The sequence below is a fragment of the Homo sapiens genome, chromosome 20, assembly GCF_000001405.40.
Source record: "Homo sapiens chromosome 20, GRCh38.p14 Primary Assembly".
NCBI classification, from domain to species: Eukaryota; Metazoa; Chordata; class Mammalia; order Primates; family Hominidae; genus Homo; species Homo sapiens.
Window position 1 is genome coordinate 1,404,990 of NC_000020.11, and position 24,934 is coordinate 1,429,923.

At 43.0% G+C, this 24,934-nt stretch overlaps 1 long non-coding RNA gene across 5 annotated transcripts, besides 2 other annotated features; it reads right to left on the reverse strand.

The window, feature by feature from the left end:
• Nucleotides 1-156: 156 nt before the first annotated feature.
• On the reverse strand, nucleotides 157-19,976 carry LOC105372497 (uncharacterized). Of its 5 annotated transcripts, none has more exons than XR_007067490.1 (7): nucleotides 18,914-19,976; nucleotides 16,996-17,086; nucleotides 13,924-14,015; nucleotides 12,395-12,566; nucleotides 6,123-9,325; nucleotides 3,380-3,458; nucleotides 157-294 (listed from the first exon to the last, which is right to left on the reverse strand). It is a non-coding gene; the product is annotated as an uncharacterized LOC105372497 (long non-coding RNA). The 5 variants fall into 5 exon arrangements; XR_007067488.1 differs by having other exon boundaries at nucleotides 18,874-19,976; XR_937193.3 differs by lacking the exon at nucleotides 16,996-17,086.
• Nucleotides 10,944-12,143: an enhancer, noted in NCBI's record as "P300/CBP strongly-dependent group 1 enhancer chr20:1396577-1397776 (GRCh37/hg19 assembly coordinates)". NCBI's record gives its function as "activates an origin of replication core promoter dependent on BRD2, BRD4, P300/CBP, MED14 and CDK7 cofactors, with strong dependence on P300/CBP, by STARR-seq in HCT116 cells {active_cell/tissue: HCT116}" and the evidence as "EXISTENCE:reporter gene assay evidence [ECO:0000049][PMID:35650434]".
• Nucleotides 22,476-23,235: an enhancer, noted in NCBI's record as "NANOG-H3K27ac hESC enhancer chr20:1408109-1408868 (GRCh37/hg19 assembly coordinates)". NCBI's record gives its function as "activates a minimal SCP1, AML or CMV promoter by ChIP-STARR-seq in naive H9 embryonic stem cells {active_cell/tissue: H9 hESC(naive)}" and the evidence as "EXISTENCE:reporter gene assay evidence [ECO:0000049][PMID:30033119]".

The following is a 24,934-nucleotide window of genomic DNA, read 5'->3' on the forward strand; positions in this document are numbered from 1 at the left end:
TCCGCCTCCCAAAGTGCTGGGATCACAGGAGTGAGCCACCGTGCCCATTCATGATTTCTAAACCTCATTACCTCCCTGTTGTGCCAAACCCTTACTGACTCCAATGGGGATGGCATCAGGTTCAAGAGGCCAAAGAAGAGACCTAGAGCCAGCAAATGAGACATGAGGTTTTATTTGGGGCTTACATACAGGAGAGAGAGTCCAGTGGTGGTGGGCTGGATAGGAGAACTGCGGTACATACAGTCCAGTGGTGGCAGGCTGGATGGGATAACCACATGGCTCAGTGGTGGTGGCCTGGGCAGAAGAACCACAACTGCTTGTAAAAGACATGCAGTTTATATAGCATTTTCACTTAGCACCCTCCCCCAACAGTCTCCACCTAGCAACTTCACCTGACCTAAAACAAAAGGTCTCGATCCCCTGTATGGCCCGCATTCCACAGGATGGGCCATAGGTTCCTCATAGACTCAGATGTTCCTCATACACAAGGAAGGAATCTCCAAGTTGGCTACTCCCAGATTTCCTAGCTTGGAACCCACATTAAGGTGCGTCTGCCATACAGAGTCATTCTCAGGGTATACTTAATTTATTGCTATTAGGTGCATTTATCATGCACTCCCAAAGGCCCTATCTCCAAATACCAGTACCTTGGAGGTTAGGGTTTTAGCATATGAATTTAGGGGCAACATAGTTCAGTTCATAGCAAAAAGTTAATCCCCAATTCTTCTGGGTGTAGTTACTAATTAAAAGAGAACCCTGATTATAGTAGAGCCAGCAGTGTCAGAATCTAGATGACCCTTAAGCTTTCCACTTTATGGGCCAATAAATTCTTTTTGCTCGTCTAAATTGAATTTTCTGCCACTTGCAACTAAAAGATTCTTGAGTAATATGATCCACAAACTCGCAGATCACTTGATCTCCAAAGGCTGTACTTGCTGGGTAATCAGTTGCTTTGGGTGTGTGTGTAATGACTGCAGGAGGTTCTTACACTTAAGCCTTCATCAGAATCACCTGCAGAACTTGGTAGAGCCCAGATTGCTGTGCTTCAACCCCAGTTCCTCATTCTGTAGGTCTAAGGTGCAACTTGAGAATTTCCATTTCTAACAAGTTCTGAAATGATGCTGATGCTGTTAGTCTGGGAATCCCACTTTGAAAAATGGTGAAATGGAAGCCCTTGCCTCCTGAAATGAGGACACCTGGAATCTTTGTGGCCCAAGATTGAGACAAGGGGTAGGATGAAACTTTTCTTTAGTGGGAAAGAACCATTTTGGTATGTCCTGGGAGTCCTCAGGAAGTTCAGTCCTTACTCTTAGCTCCCAAAGGGGAGGTATTACAGTTCCAGAAGAGATTTTCTTAGAGATCCTTTAAAAATGTCTGCTGTGCCTCCCTACAGGGCTTTTCTATTGCACTCAGAAAAAATTCAGGTGCCTTACAAGGCATTTCATGATCTGGCTTTGCCGGGGAAAGTGGAAGGGATCAGAATCCTTCATTCCCTTGACTCTTCTCTCATGTTCTATGTCAGTAGCTACAGGGCTTATACATGCTGGAATTTCCTGGGCCACTCTGACAGCAAGGAGCATTTTTCAGGCTATGAGATGTAGCAAAATTAATCTTCAAAATAACAAAAAACACACCAGCTCTTCTCCTCAGCTCTCTAAATGTCTAGGAAATTCTTATTCTGTGTTGGTCTAAGCTAAACTATATCTCTCAGATGCTTTGGAGCCCAAAAATAGTTCTTAGACTCCCAAGTATGTACTCAGATATTTGGATTGGGAATTGTGATCAGTAGATCATAGTGGCTACAAATAATGACCCATGGCTTTAGGAGGATTCACCAAGCAGTGTGTACCAAGGGCCAAGACGGGTCTTAATGGCTCCAGGAGATCAGGAAAGTGGCTCTTCACCTTGTAGCAAGGCAACAGGAAGCTAACTCAACCATAAGAAATGCAGTGATATGTGTTTTGCCTAGAGTGGCTTATGTAATCCTTATCCCAACATCACTATTATTACCCCTCTTTTACGGAAGGGAAAGCTGAGGCTTAGTGACATAGAATAACTTGCCTATGGCTACATGTGGTAGCTTGAAAAATGGCCTCTCAAAGGTACCAGGTTCTAATCTCTTACCTTGCATGGAAACGGGGCCTCTGCAGATGTGATTAAGTCAAGGATCTTGAGATGGGAAGGCTGTCATGGATTAGCAGGGTGGGCCTTAAATGCAGTTGCATGTATATAAGAGGAAAGTAGAGGAAGATTTGACCCCACACACACAGAAAAGAAGGTACTGTGACTACAGAGATGAGAGATTTGAAGCTGCCGACCTTGAAGATTGAAGTGCTGTGACCATAAGCCAAGGAATGATAGCAGCCACTAGAAGCTGGAAGAGCCAAGAACAGACTGTCCCCTAGGACCCCCAGAGGGAGCATAGCCCTGGCAACGCCTTGGTTTTGCCCCAGTGATACTGATTTCAGACTTCTGGCCTTCAGAATTGTGAAAGAGTAAATTGTGGAAGAATCCATTTCTTTTGTTTTAAGCCACCTTATCTGTAGTAATTTTGTACAACAGCCTCCGGAAACTAAAACACATACGCCCAGAAATGTGCCCAAGTCTGTCTGGCCCCAGTAGCTCTGCTGTTTGCTCTGTACTGTGGAGCCATGCAGGAGGAAACAAATGCTACCCCCAATGTTCTGCACTAATAGAGATGGAGTGGGCATGGGAACCCACATAGGACCATTATTTGGCTTGTGAACATTGTGTACTTTTTTTTTAATTATGAAGATTTATTTTGCTACATGTGGAGCCTGAAAAATGCCCCTTGGTTCAGGCTTCTGAGTAACCAAGTGTTGACCTAGTGGGCCCATAGTGGCTGGATACTGAGGAGGGGTGATGGGCAGGGACAACTTAGGATGAGGGGTGTGCTACAGATGACCCCCAGATGGGACAATCATGTTGATGTGAAAGTGATATTGTCAGATAGGCTAACAGATTCTAAGTAGTATCAGAAGCTGCCAGGTTAGCTTGCCACTCTGTCATCGATTTAGCTGGTAGGAACACATCGAGCCCATATAGATTAAGATGACTTATTACTTACACAGACAACAATGGTATTGCTCCCCATGGCCCTTGATCACAGGATGACACTGGAACAGAAGGGGCCAAGTGACATGCAACAGAGGTGATGGGTCCCTGATGCTGAGGAGCCAATTATATGCTGCAGCAAAGCAGCTTTACAGCCTGCAGCTGTACCCTGAGGGGAGGAGGGGAAGTGGACAGGCCCGCTTCATCAGAACCAGCAAGGCAGATGAGAAATGGCCATGACAGTCTTCCTGTAGATAGAGAGGTGGGTGAGAGATGGCCTTGTGGCAGCTCCTGGCAAGCTCACCTGACTTCTCATGATCTGGGTGACCATGGGGTATCCCTCCAAGACTTAGGTCAGCAGTGGTTAAGCCTTGCCCTGTAGCCTAGGTAAAAATGTGCAAGGTTGTCAGGGCACCAGCATGGAGGAGTTCCCCTACAAATATGAGCCCTTCAGAGTGAAAAGGCAAGAACTTAGATTTTGCCACTTCTTTGAGTCTTCATTTTTGTATGAAGACTCGTGTGTGTGTGTGTGTGTGTGTGTGTGTGTGTGTGTATAACAGGGTCTTGCTCTGTTGCCAGGTTGGAGTGCAGTGGTGCAATCACAGCTTACTGCAGCCTCAACCTCCCACGCTCAGGTAATCCTCCCACCTCAGCCTCCCAAGTAGCTGGGACTACAGGCGCACACCACCATGCCTGGTGAATTTTTTAATTTTTTTGTAGAGATATCGTCTCACTATGTTGCCTGGGCTGGTCTCAAATTTTCAGGCTCAAGCTATCCTTTCGCCTCAGCCTCCTGAAGTGCTGGGATTACAGCAGTGAGCTACTACACCTGGTCCCATTTTAACCATTTTTAAGTGTAGGTTCAGTGGCATAAAGTACATTCAACATTGTTGTGCAACCATCATCACCATCCATCTCCAGAACTTTTCCCCTTCCCCAGTTGAAACTCTGTACCTTTTAAACAATGACTCCCTGTGCCCTTCCCTTAGCTCCTGGCAACCATCATTCCACTCACTTTCTGTTGCTGAGTACGTTTTTTACTGCAAGCTCAGTACTAACCCCTGCCTCCTTGATATTGCTCTGCTTTGTATATGAGTTGAATCCTTGAAGGTTGAATATGCACATGACACAGTTCATCTACATGCCTTGGTCTCAGCATGTTCTCTTTGACTAGAAGAGTCTTTAACAGCACAGCCATGCCTTCTGTTTCTCTGAATCCCACATTCCGAATGTCCTGCCATGCTGTTGGTATAGACAAGATGTCTGTTCATTGTGAGTTCTTGGTACCTGATGGTGAAGTTGGGTAGGGCACAGACTTTGCTGAATTCCCATGAGGTATCTGAGTCCAAGGCTTTAGAGCAGGTCATACCACAGGGAAGGGACTTTCCCAAGCAAATTGCTGGTTTTCCACCAAATCCATGAGGCCGAGCATGTGGTCAGTTCCCCTGAAACTTTCATCTTGATTGCATTCTAGATGACATGCCCAGCTTGCTTACATTCTCCAGCCATGTCAGGTATGGCCATGTGACTAGGTTTTGACAATGGAACTGGAGCGGAAGTGTCCTGGGACTCAAGCTGAAGACACTGGACCAGTGTCTTCCACTACTTCCTCCTCCTTCTAGCTGGAACTTTGACACAACATCCTAAGTTGGGGATCACAACAATGTGCTAGAGGATTGCAGGGCCACCCTCCTCCCAACCTGGGACTCTGGATGACTTCATGGAACAAGCCTGCCTACTTCCCTGGACTGTTATGTGAGAGGAAGATAATGCTCTGTCTTGTATAAGCCATTTCATTTCGGGGCTAGCCTTTGCCCTAACTATTACAACCACAGAGAAGGCTGAGATAGAACCTGGACCTCCTGACTCCCAGGCCATCCCTACACCATAGTACAAGGGGTATTAGATTGGAGGAGAAAGAGAAGTGAGTGTGGCAAAGCTATCTTCAGTGGCAGCAGGAGAAATGCCTCTGCTCTTGCCTGAAGGTACTTTCTGTCTGGGCCTCAGCCTTAACATCTCACTCCTGGTTGTTTGCAGTGGCTTCCTACTTGGTTTTCCTATTTCCAGCCTTTCTTATGCTGGCTAACCCTCCTTACCATAATCAGAACAGTCTTTCCAATACCTATGTGGTCTCTGGAACAGACATTTCATCCAGTAGCCATTCCTTTCCATTGTTTCCCTTCTTGGAAGAGCCTATCTTCCAAGACAGATGGTGAAATATTAGTAATTTGTTCTCCAGTGTCCCTTGCAGCAAGGATTGGCCATGTAGCCAATGGGACACATTGACATTGTTGTATATGGTAATTTTTATGTTTAATTTTTTAGGTATTTCCAAAGTGGCTCTACCATTTTACATTCCCACTAGTGATGAATGAGGGTTCCAATTTCTCCACATCCTCCCCAACACTTGTTATTGTTTCTCTTTTATTATAGCCATCCTATTAGGTGTCTAGCCAATGAGAACTGTGGGAACGTCTGTCAGAGGACTTTGGGGAAAGATTTTCCTCCTTAACAAAGAGATATATGGAACAAAGACATCACAAGAAAAGAAAACTGCAGACAAATATCCCTTATGAATAAAGATGCAAAGATTCTCAACAAAATAGCAAACTGAATCCAGCAACACAAAAAAAGACTATACACCATGACCAGAAATGCAAGGATGATTTAATATCCAAAAATCAATCCATAAAATACATAACATCAATAGAATAAGGAAAAACCAAACGATCATCTCAACAGACACAGAAAAAGCATTTGACAAAATCTAACACCCTTTCATAATAAAAATGTTCAACAAACTAGGAATAAAAAAGAATTTCCTCAGCCTGATAAAGAACATCTATTAAAAAACCAACAGCTAATATAATATTTAATGATTAATGATTGAGGCCAGGTATGGTGGCTCTCGCCTGTAATCCCAGCACTTTGGGAGGCTGAGGCAGGTGGACTGCTTGATCTCAGGAGTTTGAGACTAGCCTGGGAAACATGGTGAAACCACATCTCTAAAAAACATATAAAAATTAGCCAGGTGTGGTGGTGTGTACCTGCAGTCCCAGCTACTTGGGAGGCTGAGGTGGGAGGGTCATTTAAGTCCAGGAGGCAGAGACTGCAGTGAGCCAATATTGCACCATTGCACTCCAGCCTGGGTGACAGAGTGAGAACCTGTGTCAAAAATAAATAAATAAATAAATAAGTAAATAAAAAAGATTGAATGCTTTGTTCCTAACATCAGGAACTAGACAAGAATGCCCATTATTACTATTTCTATTCAGCATTGTACTGGAGGCTCTGGCCAATGCAATAAGGTAATAAAAGAAGCTAAAAGGCATCCAGATTTAAAAGGGAGAGGTAAAACCATTTCTATATGCATATGACATGATCTTGCATATAGACGATACTAAGGAATACACAAAAAACTATTAGAGCTAATAAACAAGCTCAGCAAAGTTGTAAGATACAATATAAATATACAAAAATATTTGTATACCTATATACCAGCAATGAATAATCTGAACATGAAATTAAAAACCAAATCTCTTTATAATACTATTGAAAATAATAAAATAATTAGATATAAATTTAACAAAAGAAATGCAAGACTTGTACACTGAAAACTACAAAACATTGCTGGAAAACATGAAAATGTATAAATAAATGTAGACATATACTATGTTCATGGATTAGAAGACCTAATATTTTTTAAATGACAACACTCTTCAAACTGATCTAAACATTCAATAAAATCTTTATCAAAATCCGAATGGCATTTTTAGCAGAAATGGAAAAACAAATTCTAAAATGGCAGTAGCTTCTTGTTCAGGGCTCCTTGTTAGTGAGATAATCTTCCTGTCTTCACTGATCCTCCTGACCTTCACCTGATGCTGTCCTATGTGGGAAAATGGAACACTGGAAAGCCAACACATTTTTTTTTCTTTGTCTCTGGACTTCACTATCCTAGTAAGTGAACAAAGTCTTGACTATTAATTTCATTTGGCTTATTGTCCTAACTGACCATCTCAACACCTGTCATCTTGACAATCTTAAATTATTAAATATAACAATCAAAAGACAGATTGGCAGGGTATATATGTTGTTTATGATAAACTCATTTCAAATTCAACAATTTAGGTGGCTGAAAGTAAGCGATATAATAAGATATATTATGCAAATTTTAGTTTAAAAAATAGAAGTGGCTAAATGAATATCAGATACAGTGGACTTCAGAACCATGAAATTTACTAGAGTCAAAGAGGGATATTACATAAGAATAAAAGGATCAATCCACTAGGAAGACAAAACAATATTAAATGTGCAGGCACCAAGCAACAGAGACTTAAATATGTAAAGCCAAAGCTAATAAAACTGAAAGGAGAAATAGACAAGTCCACAATTACAGTCAGGGGCATAAACAACCCAATCTCAACAATCAATTGAACTACTAGGTAGAAAATCAGTGAGGATTTAGAGGATCTGAACAACACCATTAAACAACGGTATCTAATAGGCATGTATAAAATACTCCAACCAACAACACAGAATATAATTAGTTTCAAGAACCCAAGAAGTATATACCAACATAGACATATCCTGGACCATGAAAGAAACCTCAGCAAATTTAAAAGAATTATAATTATAGAGTATGTTCTCTGACAAAAATGGAATAAGCCTACAAATCAATAGCATAAAGGCAGAAAATCTCTAAACATGTGGAAAGTAAACAACATACTTCTAAATAATCTATGGCTCAAAGAAGAAGTTTAAAGGGAAATTTAAAAACTACATAAAACCAAATAAAAGTAAAAATACAAGATATCAAAATATGTGGGATGCAGCAAAAGTAATGCTGAGAGGAAAATTTATAGCACTAAATGCTTAACTAGAAAAGATGAAAGGTCTCAAATTAGCAATTTAAGTTAGTACCTCTAGAAACTAGAAAAACAAGAGCAACATAAATTCAAAACTAGCATAAGGAAAGAAACAGTAAAATTCAGGGCAGATATAAATAAAATCAAAAACAGAAAAACTAGAAAAACTGCAAAAAAGCTGATTTATTAAAAAATAAATAAAATTGATAAGCCTCTAGCAAGATGGAAAACAAAAAGAAGATACAAATCACTAGTACCACAAAGAAACAGGGAATGCCAATATAGATCTTGTAGCCTTTAAAAAGATAATAAGGAAATACTGTAAATACATTGATGCTCATAAATTTGATAACTTAGAAGAAATGAAACAATTCCTAAAAAATAAAAAAAAACTTCCAAAACCCAACCAGGATGAAACAGATAGTTTGGTCAGTCCTAAAATCATTAAAATGGCCAGGCACGGTGGTTCATGCCTGTAATCCCAGCACTTTGGGAGGCTGAGGCTGGTGGATCACCTGAGGTCAGGAGTTTGAGACCAGCCTGGCCAACCTGGTGAAACCCTGTCTCTACTAAAAATTCAAAAATTAGCTGGGCATGGTGGCAGATGCCTGTAATCCCACTACTCAGGAGGCTGAGGTAGGAGAATCACTTGAACCTGGGAGGTGGAGGTTGGGAGCCAAGATCGTGCCATTACACTCCAGCCTGGGTGACAAAGCGAGACTCTGTCTCAAAAAAAAAAAAAATTCATTAAAATAACTGAATTCATAATTAAAATGCTCCAAGCTGGATAATTCTACCAAACATTTGAAAAACACAACACCAATTTTACACAATCTCCTCCAAAAAATAGAAGCAGAGGAAACACTTCTCAATTCATTTCATGAGGCCAATATTATGAGACGAAATAAAAAGAAAGAAAATTACAGACCAGTATCTCTTATTAATTCTGATGCAAAAATCCTTGACAAAATATAAGCAAGCCAAATCCAACAATGCATAAAAATAATTATTCACCATTATCAAGTTAGATTTATTACAGCTATGGTAGTTCAACATTCAAAAATCAATCAATCCACCATATCAACAAGCCAAGGAAAGAAAAGCATATAATCATATGAATTGATGCAAAAAGAAAGCATTTGACAAAATCCAAAACTCATTAAGTCTCCCAGCAAGTCATAAATAGTGCAAAATTATTTCAACTTGATAAAGAACATGTAAAACAATTATACAAAACAAAAAAATCCACAGCTAATATACGTAATGGTGAAAGACTGCTTTCCTCTTATGATGCTTTCCTAATGGCGCTTTCCTCCTAAGACGGAAACAAGGATGTTCTGCCTCACCGCTGTTATTCTACACGATACTGGAAGGTCTAGCCCCTGCAACAAGGGAAGAAAAAGAAATAAAATGCCCCACGTCACAAAGGAAGACAGAAAACTGTACTATTTATAGGTAACCTGTTTGACTATGTAGAAAATCTAGAGGAATTTAAAATGCAACAAACAAACTCCAACTAAAAAGTGAGTTTACAAGGTCATAAGACACTAGATAAACACACAAACATCAGTGACATTTCTATACACTAGCAGTGAATCTATGGAACAAAACTTTAAACCACAATACCACTTATAATCTCTCCAAAGAAAATGAAATATTTAGCAAAACATGCATAGCATATGTATGCTGAAAATTATAAAATACCAGATAAAAGAAATAAAAGATATAAATAAGTAAATGAAAATACATACTGTGTTTACAGATTGGAAGTCTCAACATAGTAAAGATATCAGTTTTCCCCAAATTTATCTGTAGGTTCAATGTTCATATCAAAATCCCAGCAAGATTTTTTGTAGATATAGATAAGTTTATTTTCCAATTTATAAGGACAGGTATAGTCTCTAGAATAGCTAAAATAACCTCAACAAAGAGGAATAAAGTGGAAGGAATCAATCTACTCAATATTAAGGTTTACTTTATAGCTACAATAATCAATACAGCTTGGTAGTTTCTTATAAAACTAAACATGCAACTACGATATGATCTAGCAACTGCACTCTTGAGCATTTCAGAGAATTGAAAACATGTTCACTCGAAAATCTGTACACCTATGTTCACGGTAGCTTTATTCATAGGAACTAATAACTAGAAACAACCCAGAAGTCTTTCAGTGGGTGAATAGTTCAGCAAGCTGCAGTATATATATGTCATTAAACACTCCTTAGCAATAAAAAGCAATGAACTGTTGGTATGTGCAACAACTTGGATGAATCTGCAAGGAATTATGCTGCGTGAACAAAAGCCAACTGCAAAAGGTTACATACTGTAGGATTCCATTAATATTTACTCCACAAATATTTATTTTTGCAATAATAAAAATTTTAAAATGGAGATCAGATTAGTTAGTGGTTGTCAGCGCTTAAGGATGGGTAGGGAGTGGCTGAAGGAAGAAAACGGGATGCTTATGAAAGGATAAAGTCTTTGATATCTTTGTGATGATGAAGGTATCTATCGTGATTACAGTGGTGAATACACACACCTATGCCTGTGATAAAATTTGCATAGAACTAAATACACACCACACACACACGAGTACACGTAAAAGTGGGAAAATCTGAATAAGATGGGTGGATTCTATCAATGAAAATATCCTGGTCATGATATTATACTACAGTTTTGCAAAACGTTATCATTGGGGGAAACTAGGTAAAGGGCATATATGGGATGTGTCTGTATTATTTCTTGGAGTCTGTAATTATTTCAATAAATATTTTAATTAAAAAAAGAAGCAAAATACATCTGCCTACTTTCTGATCCAGTAAATCTGCTTCTAGAAATATATTGAATGGAAATATTTGCATGAGACAGGGCAATGGAGGTGGGGGGAAGGGTTAGATTCCAATCAGTGTTGAAGCTGGAGCCACCAGGACTTGCCAAGGAATTGAGAGTATCCCCGTGTCTCTGACCCAGTCTCCTCACGGTTTCCCGGCTTCACTCTGCCACATCTAATCCATTTGCCATCGTGTAGCTGAGATGATCTTCTACAAATTCACCCTGACCATGCACCTCCCTGTAGAGCCTTCTATGGTCCCCCACTGCCCTCAAAAGCCAGCATTCTTTTCCCTGGCATAGGAGATACTTTGATCTGGCCTCTCTGACTCATGCTCAGTCCTGTCCTGCAGCTCCCCTGACTCATTGCATTCCCTCTTGACACGAAGCCTGTGCAGATGCTGTTCCCTCAGCCTGGAAGACCTCAGTCTGGGTGACTCATGCTCACGCTTTAAGTCCCTGGTCAGACAGCACTTCTTCCGGGAAGCCAGCCTGACCTTCTCAGCAGGGTTCTAAGACCCATATTTCCTGCCTAATCACAGCCTTTTGCAAAAGTGGGTGGTAGTTGTCTCCTCACTGGCTAGGCACACAGTAGGGGCTCAGAGTGTGATTCCTCCAAGTAGAGGGGCTCCCTGTTGCCTCAGGACTAAGTCCAGATTCTGCACCATGTTCAGGAGATCCTGTAGCGTCTGGCCTCTCCTGACCTCCCAGCCCTGGATCTAGCCCCCATCTCTCCACAACTTTCTTTATTCAGCCTGTTGGCTTTTAATAGTTCTTCTAACTCTCCTCATGGTCTTCTCTCAAGGCCTTTGTTGATGCTGTCTTCTCTGCCCAGACATGCCTCCTTCTTCCCATTTTCACCTGGGTACCTCCAACTCATCCTTCCCACTTCAGTTAAAACATCACCTCCTCCAGGAGGTTTCCCTGACTGCTGGGGCCAGGTGAAGGCCTCTGTTATGACCTTTCCCATGGTACTCTGTGCCTCCTCCCTTCCAATGCACATCGTACTTTCATTTATTATTTTTTGCCTGTAATTACACCGGAATGTGAACCCCATGAGGGCAGAGCAATTTATGTCTTGCTCACTGCTGAATAGTGCCTGGCACCTAGTAGGAGCTCAGGACATGTTTGTTGAATAAATGATTAATATCCCTCCTGAGAGACAAATGCAGGCATGTGGCTTGCCCAGTTGACCAGGGGCCTTTGTGAAGGGAACAGCAATTCTGGGCACCAACTGCATGACAGGTACTCTCGAGACCCCACTTATTCCTCACCATAGCCCCTTGTGATAAGTTTATCATCCTTATTCTACAGATGGGTAAACTGAGCTCCAAGAGGTGAAATAACATCTGTAGAATCACTGCTGGTAAGTGGGGAGTCAGGATTTGAACCCAACTCTCTGGCCTTTGAAATTGGTTTCTTACTACAAAAAAGCACTGCCTCTTGGTGGTAAGAAACCAACTGGTTTTTCCAGATGACCCTGGGAGCTAAGAAAACCAATGCTTCTTGCATGCCCGTTCTGCGCCAGACACTGACATGCTCATCTTGCTCAGGCTCACCACAGCGCTGTGCGGTGGGAATTAGAGGAGGAGCCTGAAGCCCTGAGAAGCAAAGCCACTTACCGAGATCACATAGCTGAGAAGAGCTGAGCCAGGATTTACCCCAGGGTGTTCTGACTCCAAGGCTGGTGGGCTCAGGCAGGGTGGCTACACATTGGTGCCACCTCCCACTTCCTGGACATACCAGAATGATGACAAGAGGCACTGGAAGCTCCCACCTAGGCCTGCAGGGTTACTACAGAAAAAGACAAAGATCCTTTGAGTCATCTGGGTGAGAAAAGGCAGGGAATGACAGGCACAGTGTGGTGTGCTAGTGATGGCCTGTGCACAGATGGGGCTTTGCCAGTCCCTTTGCAGGGTGGAGATAACTGAACCTGGAGAGAGTATGGATTTGAAACCCTGTCCCCAGCTTGCACAGGGCTGCAAATCACAGGGTTATACGTGTTTCCTGCCTTCCTGGTGTGAAAGTGGCTGAAGAGATTGTGAGGCCAGCCTCAGTTTTCCCATCCCAGAAGGGGAAGATGCCCTTAGAAGTTGCCCCTGCCCTTCTGGAGACCCTCTTGAGACTGCAAGATTGGCCTCAAGGAAGAGGTCATCAGGTCTTTGCCAATTGGTCCCTGGGGCCCAGAGAGGGGCAGAAACTAGCCCAAAGTCACACAGGGATGCTTGGCTGACCCAGAATTGGGGCAGGCTTTGGAATCCCCACCCAGTGCTCTTTTTGCTGCCTCAGGCTGCACTTATGCTACCCCCTTCCACTTGGAAAGCCAAGGAGATGAACAAGAAGCCACTGAGTCTAGGGGTGATGGTGGAGGATGTGCTGGAGGCTGGGAAAGAGAGTAGTGAGGATGCTGCCAGGGAGCTGAGGAGCCAGGGAGGGGAGGGCTGTCTTAGTTATGTCAGGTTGGGGTCTGCCACGCACCTGTCATCTCAGTCTCATGCTCTCATCTTGAAGGAACAGCACCCAGATTTTCCTTTAGGGAGTCCCCTCCCAACTGCCCCTAAGTCCACTCCCCATCCCCAGCTTCAAGGCTCAGCCCATCAGTAAACTTCATCTCCCTGGCTACAGTGATTGGTTTAGGCAGCGTCATATGACTCCATTTGAGCAATGAGAGGCAGCTCTGGGATTGTTGCTGGAACCTCTGTGAAAGCAGAGGAAGCTGGAAAGGATGTAATACAGTAGCTGCTGATGATCATCTTGCCACCATAGGGGTAAGTCATCTGGCAAAGAGGTCAAGATAATGCTAGCAGGGTTGAGAGCCTGAGGCAAGGACAGATCCCTGAGGACACTGTCTGGACGTCTGACAATGGGTCATCCTGGCTGCCCTCTTTCCTAGCCTGCAGCACATCCTCCACCATCAGCCCTACATCCTGTTACTCAGGCACCCAACCATGCCGGAACAGCTATGGAATTTCCAGTTTTGTGAACCAATATACTCTCCCTTTGGTTAAGGCAGTTTGAGTTGTGTTTCCATCATTTGCAATTAAAAGATTCCTGCTACAAAGCCCTCATGGATCTGCATTTTTTCTCCCAGGTCTCTTCTACCACTAGAGAGTTGTGGACTCTTGGCAAAGGAGTTAATAACACTACTCACAATTCATGTCTTCATTCAATAAATATTATTCTTTACTTCATATGTTCCACGCTCTGGTTGTTTTGTGGGGAGCAAAAGAGAAGTTCCCATTTCTGTTTATGTTAGAAACAAAACAAGACAAAAAACAAATTAACAAGCAAATACATACTGATTATAAAATAATGTGATGTGAAGAAAAAAACTGCTAAGAAAGAATAATGAGGTAGGAGGGGGCTACTTGAGATCAGGTGGTCACGCTGAGAGTTGAGAGTGGAAAGGAGCAGCTGGGAAGGTGTCTGGGAGAAGGCTGTTCTAGGAGGCAGAAACAACATGAACCAGAAGCTTGAGGAAAGACTGTTCACTAGAGGAACAGAAGGAAAACCAGGGAGGCTGGACAAGAACAGGGATGGGAAGCTGACTAGAGTGTAGAGAGAAAACTAGGAAGACCTCATAGGGCCTTGTGGGTTTGAGTGTAATTCAACCAAAGAAGCCACTGTTCTTGCCTCCTCTCTCATAGAAAGAGAACTCCTGATTTACTTATTTTTATTATTTTTTTAAACGGTTAACTTTTATTTTAGATACAGGGGCTACATGTACAGATTTGTTACATGGGTATATGGCATGATGCTGAGGTTTGGGGTATGGTTCCCATCATCTGGGTAGTAAGCATATAGTTTTTTCACCCACGCCCCTTCCTTATTTCTCTCCACCAGTAGTCCGCTGTGTCTACTGGAGTGTCTGTTGTTGCCATGTTTATGTTCATGTGTGTTGTTCCCATGTTTATGTCTGTGTGTGTTGTTCCCAATGTTTAACTCCCACTTATAAGTGAGAACATGTGGTATCTGGTTTTCTGTTCTTGCATTAATTTGCTTAGGATTATGGCCTCCAGATGCATGCATATTGCTGCAAAGGACACGATTTCATCCTATTTTATGGCTGCATAGTATTCCATGGTGTATATGTATCAAGTTTTCTTTATATAATCCACTACTGATGGCACCTAGGTTGATTCCATGTCTTTGTTACTGTGAATAGTGTGGAAATAAAGATATGAGTGCATGTGTCCTTTTGATAGAATGATTTATTTTCCTTCAGGTATATACCCAGTAATGGGATTGCTGGGTTAAATGGTAGCTCCGTTTGTAGTTCTTTGAGAAATCTCCAAACTGCTTTCCACAGTGGCTGAACTAATTTACATTTCCACAAATGTAACAGAAAGGCCCAAAATTAACAGTAGATAAGACTTTATTTCTCTCAGGGAGAAAAAAAAGTCAACGTATAAAGCAACTCTTTATAAGGGTTCTCTTTTCTTTGCAGCCTCGCCGGCATCTGTTGTTTCTGACTTTTAATAATAGCAATTCTGACTGGTGTGAGACGGTATCTCACTGTGGTTTTGGTTTGCATTTCTCTGATGATTGGTGATGATGAATATTTTTTTCAAGTGTTTGTTGGCCACTTGTATTATCTTCTTTTGAGAAGTGTCTGCTCATGTTCTTTGTCCATTTTTTAATGGGGTTATTGTTTTTCTCTCATTTATTTGTTTGAGATCCTTATGGATTCTGGGTATTAGACCTTTGTTGGATGCAGAGTTTATGAGTATTTTCTCCCATTCTGTAGATTATCTGTTCATTCTGTTGAGAATTTCCTTTGCTGTGCAGGAGCTCTGTGGTTTAATTAGGTCCCATTTTTCAATTTTTGTTTTTGTTGCAATTGCTTTTGGGGACTCAGCCAAAACTTTTTTGTGAAGGCCAATGTCAAGAAGGGTACTTCCTAGGTTTTCTTCCAGGATTATTATAGTTTGAAGTCTTACATTTAAACCTTTAATCCATCTTGAGTTAATTATTGTATATGGTGAAAGGTAATGGTCCAGTTTTATTCTTCTGCATATAGCTAGCCAGTTATCCATCCCAGTACAATTTATTGAATAGTGAGTCCTTTCCCCATTGCTTGTTTTCGCCTTGTCAAAGATCAGATGGTTTATAGGGTGTGGCTTTATCTCTGGGTTTTCTATTCTGAGAACCCCTGATTTATATTTAGGCACAGAGGACCTCTGATTATGGATACCATTTCCCAGACTCTCTTGCAGCTAGGTGTGCCATATGAGTAGATACTGGTCACTGGAATGTGAACAAGTGTGAAATGAGTAACATCAGGGTCCTTCCTGTAAAGAGCAGAGAAATACCCACTTTGTCCTCTTTTCTCCCTAGAATAGCTGGCATGCAGGGATGAGCCAGAGCCATCTCAGACTGTGGCAGGAGGGCAACACCTTAGGAATGGCTGAGCAACAAGCCAGACAGAGCCTGAGCTCCCAACAGTTTCATGGAAGAGATGCTTCATAGGTTGACTTTTTTTCTCCCTGAGAGAAATAAAGTCTTATCTACTGTTAATTTTGGGCCTTTCTGTTAATGCAGCTGAAATTATATAGAGATGTTTAAAACTATGGGTTAGGATGAGACCACCCAGGACAGTAGTCCTCAAACTGTGTTTTCGGGAGCTCTGAGAACTCTGAGTGTCATTGAGATGCTATCAGGGGTCTGTGAGGTCAAAACTCTTTTCCTAATAATGCTAAGATGTGTGTACCTTTTACACTCTCATTCTCTCACCAGTGTATGGTGCAGCTTTCCAGGAGCTATGTGCATGGGATAGTGCAACACGGTGTATGCAGATGTGTATGCAGAAGTAGTATGAAAATCCAGCTGTCTTTTTTTAAAGCCAGACAATGCAGGGATTCACAAAAATGTAAAACAATGTACTCTTCTTACGAAATGCCTTTTGTTTGGAAATATGGTCAGTTTTGAAAACAGATTATATTTATGTTAACATGTAATGCATTCACAATTTTAAAATTAATATTTTTAACTTTTCTCCATTTTACTAACATAAATATTAATAGATACAAACCCACTTAAAAAGCTCTTTCAGATCTTCAAGAATGTTTAAGCATACAAAGAAGCCCCGAGACCACAAGGGTGAGAACTACCATCCTCCCCGCTCTCCGGATGCTCCCACAGCCTGGGCTCCCCAGTGCAGGTAGGGACTCCCCAGAGCATGAGACCACCCCTGCCTCTCTTGGCCCCATGACCCCCCTCTTACCTAACTGTTCCTTCACCCCCAGAGCCAGCACCAAGCAGGAGATGCAGTACAGTGTGCCCAGGACCATGGCAGCCATCACATATGCCCTCCACTGGGGAACAAGAAGTGCGTTAGGCTGATGTACTCCACTCCACCTCCATACGTGTTTGTGCAGTGACACCAGCCTGGAGGGCCTTCTATCGCCATCTCCCTCCTCTGTAAATCCTACCCACTCTTTGAGTCTTGGCCCAAGGGCTGCTGTCTCTCTCTCTCTCAAATGATTTCTGTGTTCTCATTTGTCTCTGCCTTCTCTGGGAATCTTTGGTGCCACAGGGTAATCTCCTGTGTGTCACTCCTGACTTCCTAATTCATCTGCCATCTCCTTCCTTGAAAGCGGAAATAGTGACTTCTTCTGCTTCCCTACATTGCCTAATAACAATAACAACTACCATAATAATACTTGCTAACAATTATTAAACAGTCACCATTATAATATTAGCTCATTTACTCCTTGCAACAGCTCTCTAAGGTGGGCTCTATGATATTAGCCTCATTTTACAGATGAGAGGACTGAGGCTCAGAAAGGTTAAAGAACTGCCCAAGCCACACAGTTCAGAAATGGAGGCCAGCATATAAGCCAGTTCAACTCTGATTGGCGACTGCTAGAAATCAATGGAGTGATATGCACTTAGCACTGTGCCGGGGGGATAGAAAGTGCTCTACTACCCAGTAAGCATTTATTGAGCACCTACTATGTGTCAGGCACTGCTAGGTGCTGTGGGTTCAGCTGTGAGCCAAGCAAAGTCCCTTCTCTCCTCGTGCTTGTAGGCTGTTCCTGCCTAAGCCTTCCCTCTGCTGTTCCCTCAGCTTGAAATGTTTTCCCCAGGTTCCCACATGGCTTGCTCCATCACCTCCTTTAGGTCTCTGCTCAAATATCACCTTATCAGTGAGGCTTCCTCTGACCTCACCACCTAAAATCTCAACTTGCTCTGCCCTTCCCTGCAGCACATCCTGCCCGATGCCTGCATGTGCTATGGGCCTCACTCACTCATGGGTAATATCTGTTTCCCCTGCAGGACGTCAGCTCTGTGAGGGTGGAAGATGTGTCTGTCTTTTCCCTGCTATAGCCTCTGGCACAGCATAGCACCTGGTATACAGTAGATGCTCAGAAACCATGTGCCAAATGGATGAATGAGCATGGTTGGTGGTGAAAATTGTTATGAGGAAGAATGAAGGTAGTCAAAGGGGATGGGGTCTGGGGGTCATCTTCCAGAGAGGGCGTAAGATTGGAGACCTGATTAGAGCGTGTGGTGGGGGGGAGTGGGGTCGGGGGGAATGTGTCATGTAAAGAACTGGGAGAAGTGTCTTCCAGGCAGAGGAAAAGCATGTGCAAAGGCCCTGTGGTGGGAGCATGCAAGGCATGTCTGAGAAACAGAAAAGAGGCTGGTGTAAGGGAGAAGGGTGGGAGGTGAGGGAGAAGGGCCGGGGGCCAGCTTGTCCAGGTCTTTCAGACCATGCTGAGGGATCTGACGTTTCCTGAGGGTGATGGGGAGCCATGGAGGAGTCTACAGACATTAGCTGTTATTACTATGTTTCAAGGGCCCACATGGGCCAGGCCCAGGTAGGCCGCCTTACACACACACACTCCCATTTGATCTGTGTGTCCATGCTGCAGGCTTTCCTGTCCCCTTTTCACAGACAGGGAAGCAGAAGCCAGCAGGCCCCTCTTTACTGTGTTCTCCAGAGAGTTGGTGAGCAGGAAGTTGCTGTTGCCATCAAGGGAGCCATTGTCCCATGAGCCATTGAACTCCACGGAGCCCTAGTTTATGCTGCTGTGGAAGTGGCTCCCCAGCTTTCCCTAGATGTGGGCTCCTACTAGCATGCTGACAGCTTCCATACCTATGCCTGCGGAGGCGACTTAGGAGACCAGCGGACTTACTTCCTGGTCCCAGGATGAAGTAAAGAAGCCAGCAGATGGTGCCAAAGGCAACCTCTATTTACCCTTGCTGCTCATTAGCATAAGACACTCCCACCAGTGCCGTGACAGTTTACAAATGCCATGGCAACGAGCTGCAAGTTACCACCCCTTTCCATGGCAACAACTCGGCATTTGTTCTTTTCTAGAGCATTCTGAATAACAAACCTCTTAATTTGCATGTAATTAAAAACTTTTGGGTCTGGTAAAGATCTTAAATGTTTTTAGCACACACACACACACAAATGTAAGTGGGTGAGGTGACAGATGTGTTAACTAACACGATTGTGGCACTCATTTCACAATGTATATGTATATCAAATCAGCATGTTGCACACCATAAATTTACACAATTTTGTCAATCATACCTCAAGAAAGCTGGGAAAACAGAATCATACCACAAATTCACTGTTTTAGAACATGCAATTAAGCAGTTTTAGTATATTTACAGAACTGTGCAACCATTATCACTACTAATTCTAGCATATTTTAATCATCCCAAAAAGAAACCCTGTACCCATTAGTAGTTACTCCCCAATCCTCTCTCCCTCTAGTGTGTGGCAACAAGTTGTAGCATGTATCACTACTTCATTTCTTTTTATGGCCAAATAACATTCCATTGTGTGGTTACACCACATTTTGCTTATCCATTTATCAACTGATGCACATTTGGATTGTTTCTACCTTTTGGCTATTGGGAACAGTGCTGCTGTGAACAGCCTGTGTACGTTTTTGTCTGAACACTTGTTTTCAATTCCTTGGTCATATACCTAGGAGTAGAATTGCTGGATCCTATGGTAACTCTGTTATCATAACTTTTTGAGGAACTGCCAAACTGTTTTCCAAAAGGGCTGCACCATTTTACATTCCCACTTTCAGTGCAGGAGGGTCCTAATTTCTCTACATTTTCACCAACACTTGTTGTCTATCTTTTTTATCATAGCTATCCTAATGAGCGCAAAGTGGTGTCTCCATGTGGTTTTCCTTTGCATTTAAAGATTACTAATGAATCAGTCTGGCGTGGTGGTGTGCGCCTGTAGTCCCAGCTACTTGGGAAGCTGAGGCACAAGAATCACTGGAACCTGGGAGGCGGAGGTTGCAGTGAGCTGAGATCTTGCCACTGCACTCCAGCCTGGGCAACAGAGCAAGACTCTGTCTAAAAAAAAAGAAAAGGAATTTAGTACTACTAATAAGCACATTTTCATGCTGATTTGTTTGTTTTAAAGATGCCAAAGATCTAGATGGGTTTTTATGTGTGAAATTTTCTGATTTTAAAATGTTGGTCCCAGATCATGGGGTGTTCAGAGCAGCAGGCTCCCATGCTGGAGGGCCACACCACCCCCTGGCCAGGCCTGCTCAGCATTGGCTTATGTTTGGCCCATGTTTGCCAACCACCTCCTTCAGTTCCCTGTTGTTCCCTCCATGTCAGTCACTTTGAATTTCTCCCATTCCTCACACATAGCAAGTTCTTTTCCACCCCAGGGCCTCTGCACTTGCTGTTCTTTCTGCCAAGCACACTTTCTCCCCAAATCTCTGCTTGGTTGGTTTTTCATGTTGCAGGTCTCAGCTCAAATGTCAACTCCTCAGGGTTGCGATCCCTGGCTACCCTAACATAGCCCCAAAATTTGCTGCTAGTAACTGTCCCATTTCTATTTCATTGTCTTCAGAGAACTATTGGCATCTGAAATTACCTTGCTGTGTATTTATTTACAGCTGTCCTTAGTTATACACAGAGGATTATTTCCAGGACCTCTTGTATATACACAAATTCACATGTACTCAAGTCCTTTAGTGTTTATTGGAGTCCACGGATACTATATTTCTTTCTTTCCTCTTTTTTTTTTTTTTAAGAGAGAGGGTCTTGCTTTGTTGCCCAGGCTAGAGTGCAGTGGCATGATCACAGCTCACTGCAGCCTTGAACTCCTGGATTCAAGCGATCCTCCCACCTCATCCATCCAAGTAGCTGGGATTACAGACATGAGCCACAGTGCCTGACTCAGATACTTTATTTTTTATTTACATTTGGTTGAAATAAATTTGCCTATAAGTGGAATCACATAGTTCAAACACGTGTTGTTTAAGGGTCAACTGTGTTCATTTACTATCTATCCCACTAAGATATAAACTGTAAGAGCAGAAATCATGTCTCTTATTCCCTGCTATAACTTCCGTACCCTGCACCTAGCAGGTGCTTAATACATGTTTGATGAATGAGTAAATAAGCTACAAATGAGGAAAATGAGGCTTTGAGATGTTAAGTCACTTGCCCAAGGTCCCACAGTTAATTAGTGGAAGAGCCACAACAGGAAAGGTTTTCTATGTGCAGATCCTGCAGCCCAGGAAGGAGAGACTTGCCTGAGTCTAATAGCAAGTCAGCAAGAAAACAAAGGCCGCCAAGGTCTTTCCATGGGCTGCTGAATGAGGTTGGCACTGGGTGCCTGTCAAGCTCCAGGGGCCTGTCTGCAGTCGGTCTCAGCTGAGGGAGACCCTCCACCTCCAGGGACTCAGTCAACAAGACCTGGCTCCTCTAGAAGCCTCCATAGATGAAGGGCCCCCTGGAAATCCCCAGAGAGATTTCTGGAGGCCAGAGGTAGGAGGACAATTCAGCATCCAGAGGAGAAAGGATTTTCTAACAGGCAGAGCAGCAGTGATGGAAGGACAGGTGGCAAACTCCCCATTGCCTGAGGGAGATAAGCGGAGATGAGTATCAGGAGGGGACCAGCTCCACTCAGCTCTGCCACATGTTACACTCAGGAAAGAGGCTGGGGGAGCACTGGCAAAACTCAGGAGAGGAAGAGGCACCAGTGCCCAGTCTAGTGCACGTGACATTTGACTGAATCAGTGGGACTGGTGGGAGCAATGATAATGCAGCTTTATTTTGACATCCCAGTGTCCACACACCCTGATGGGTGAACTGGAATCTTCACAGGCACTGAGATGGAATCTAGGGCAGGTCCCAGTGACTCTGGTAATTGAAAGTCTTCCTGTCACTTTTTCCCCTCAAAGAGCTTCAATTCATCTATTCATAAAAATAAATTTCTGCAATGATAAAAATGTACCAGAAGCAAGTCAAAAGACAAAAAACAGAATAGGAAAAAAAATTGTGATTCATATCTCAAAGTGTATGTCTCCCTGATTCTGAGACATTAGTTTCCTATACATAAGTGAACAGAGGATATAAATAGAGGTTCACAGAAAAGAGGATGCAATGGCTTCTGACTGCACGAAAAGATACTCAACATCCTTCATAATCAGGGAAATGTTAAGGCAAACTATGATGGGGTCAGATCTAGTTCTGGGCAAGATGGAGTAATAAGCATGTTCCACCCCACCTCTCCTGCTGAAGGCAGCTATAAAACCTGGACAGGATGCACAGGCCAGCTATGTGAGGACTCTGAAAAGTAAATGGTAGAAGGTAACTTGAAGAAGATCAGAAATCAAAGTACCATCCTGAGTTTACCTTTTTGCCCCCTTCTTGTTTCCTGGCTAGAACAAAATGTAGCCTGGAAGTGGGGACTGGGACCACACAGGAAAACTCCAGTAGAAGCCCTCTAGTGCTGGCTTAAGGACCAGGAATTTCTAATGCCACTCTCCTGCCCTGAGTTTCTTTCTTCTTCCTGCTCTCCTATGCCCCAGCCACCAGGGAGTCCCTGGCAGGAATGACAGAGGCCTCAAAGCATTGGGAACCTGCAGGAGCTGAAACTCAGAGGGAGGAGAATGTTCTTCATGCATCAGCAGAGTTGTGATCCCAAAAGGAAGGGAGCAAACCCCTGTTGCTTTTTCTTCTTTGTGCTCCCACCACCTGGCCCTGCCATGAAGAGTGCAGCACAGCGGGATGCTGCAGCTTTAGCTTTCTGGCTGGGAGCGTGAAAAGGGAGCCCCAGGAAACAGGAAAGTACCAGGGAGATTGTAAAAAGGGAGGAGCTTGTGAAAGCAACCCCATTACATTGTTTACGAACTCCTTGAGGCACTCTCCAATTGCACATGTGTGGATCTGATTGTAATCACCATATAAAGGCTCTGAGAAATGTGCTAACAGGCCACATGCTCAGGTCCCAGACTCCCTGCTGGGTAGTGCACACAGGGTACCAGACAGTCAGCAAAGGCTTTGCAGACTGAGCTGACATTGGAACCACCACACACAGAAGGTTGGGACTTGAGGCCTGAACCTGACCAGGTTGACTGCCAGCCAAAACACAAGATATAAATGTTTCCCATAGAACTTAAATAAGACCCAGAGCCTCAAAATATAATACAGAAAACGTTCAGGTTACAATCCCAAACTACTCAGCTTGTGAAGATCCAGGAAAATGTCAACTCTCCTGGGAGAAGACATCAACAGATGCCCACTCCTAGATGACACAGATGTTGGGGTTATCTGATACCTTTTGAAGAAATTACTACAAAAATACTCAAATGAGTAAGGGTAGATATTCTCTTTTTCTTGAGATAAAATTCAAGTAACAGGCCGGGCGCGGTGGCTCACGCCTGTTATCCCAGCACTTTGGGAGGCCGAGGCGGGTGGATCATGAGGTCAGGAGTTCAAGACCAGCCTGGCCAAGATAGTGAAACCCCGTCTCTACTAAAAATACAAAAAATTAGCCGGGCGCAGTGGCAGGTGCCTGTAATCCCAGCTACTTGGGAGGCTGAGGCAGGAGAATCGCTTGAACTTGGAGGGTGGAGGTTGCAGTGAGCCAAGATCGCACCACTGCACTCTAGCCTGGGTGACAGAGTGAGACTCCGTCACACACACACAAAAAAATCAAGTAACATAAAATTAATCATTTTAACAGGGCGTTTAGTATGTTCAATGTTGTGTAACCAGTACCTCTATCTAGTTCTAAATATTTTCGTCAACCCAAAATAAAGCCTAGTATCCATTAAGCAGTACTTCCCATTGTCCCTTCCACACAGCACCCAGCAACCATCAATCAGCTTTCTCTCTCTATGGATTTACCTATTCTGGATATTTTATATAACATGTAGCTGTCATAGTATGTGACTCTTGTGTCTGAGTTTTCACTTAGCATAATGGTTTTGAGGTTACCTAGAGTTAGCCAAACTGCAGGTAACCTCAAAAACATTGTGCTAAGGTAGGGTCTTCCAGACCACCAAATTTGACTCCCAAGACTCTGACACAAATTTCAAGTTCAAGGGGTTCCTAAAACCACCCTCAGGTTGTATAATTCACCAGAAAGACTCGCTGAAACCTATTATATGTACGTCTATGTTTATTACAACAAAAATATACAAATTAGAACCAGCCAGAGGAAGAGATGCATAGGATGGAGTTGGGAGGGGTCTAAATGGGGAGTGTCCGGTGTCCTCTCCCCAGGGTCATGGACAGTTACTTCCTCGTGACCATGATGTGTGATAACATGCACAGAGTATTGCCAACCAGGGAAGCTCACCTGAACTTTGGTATCTAGAGTTTTTAATGAGGCTTCACTACATGGGCATGATTGATTAAACTCAATCTTCAGCCCACTCCACCCCAACCCTGGAGGTTGGGTTGAAAGCTCTCACAGTAAATTCTATGTTTGGTTTTTCTGGTGTGGCCAGCCCCTCCACCCTAAGACTATCAGGTGTGAGTGGCGTTATGAATAATCTCATCAACATAAACTATCAGGTGTGGTCCCAGTGACTCAACAGGAATAAAGAGGACACTCCTGTCATGTTGGAAATTCTAGACATTTCTTTGAGTGAGGCCAAATTCCTTACAACATGGAAGTTTATCCATTATAGCATTTATCAATACTTCATTACTTTTTTGTTTCTGAATAATCCATTTTATGTGTACACGATTTGTTTATTCACTTGTTTATTGCTGGACATTTGGGTTGTTTCCACCTTTGGGGTATTTTGAATAATGCTGCTATTAAACATGGATGTACAAGTATCTGAGTACCTGTTTTCAATTCTTTTGAATATATATCTGGGATGTTTAACTTTATGCATTAATTTGACTGGATTATGGGATACCCA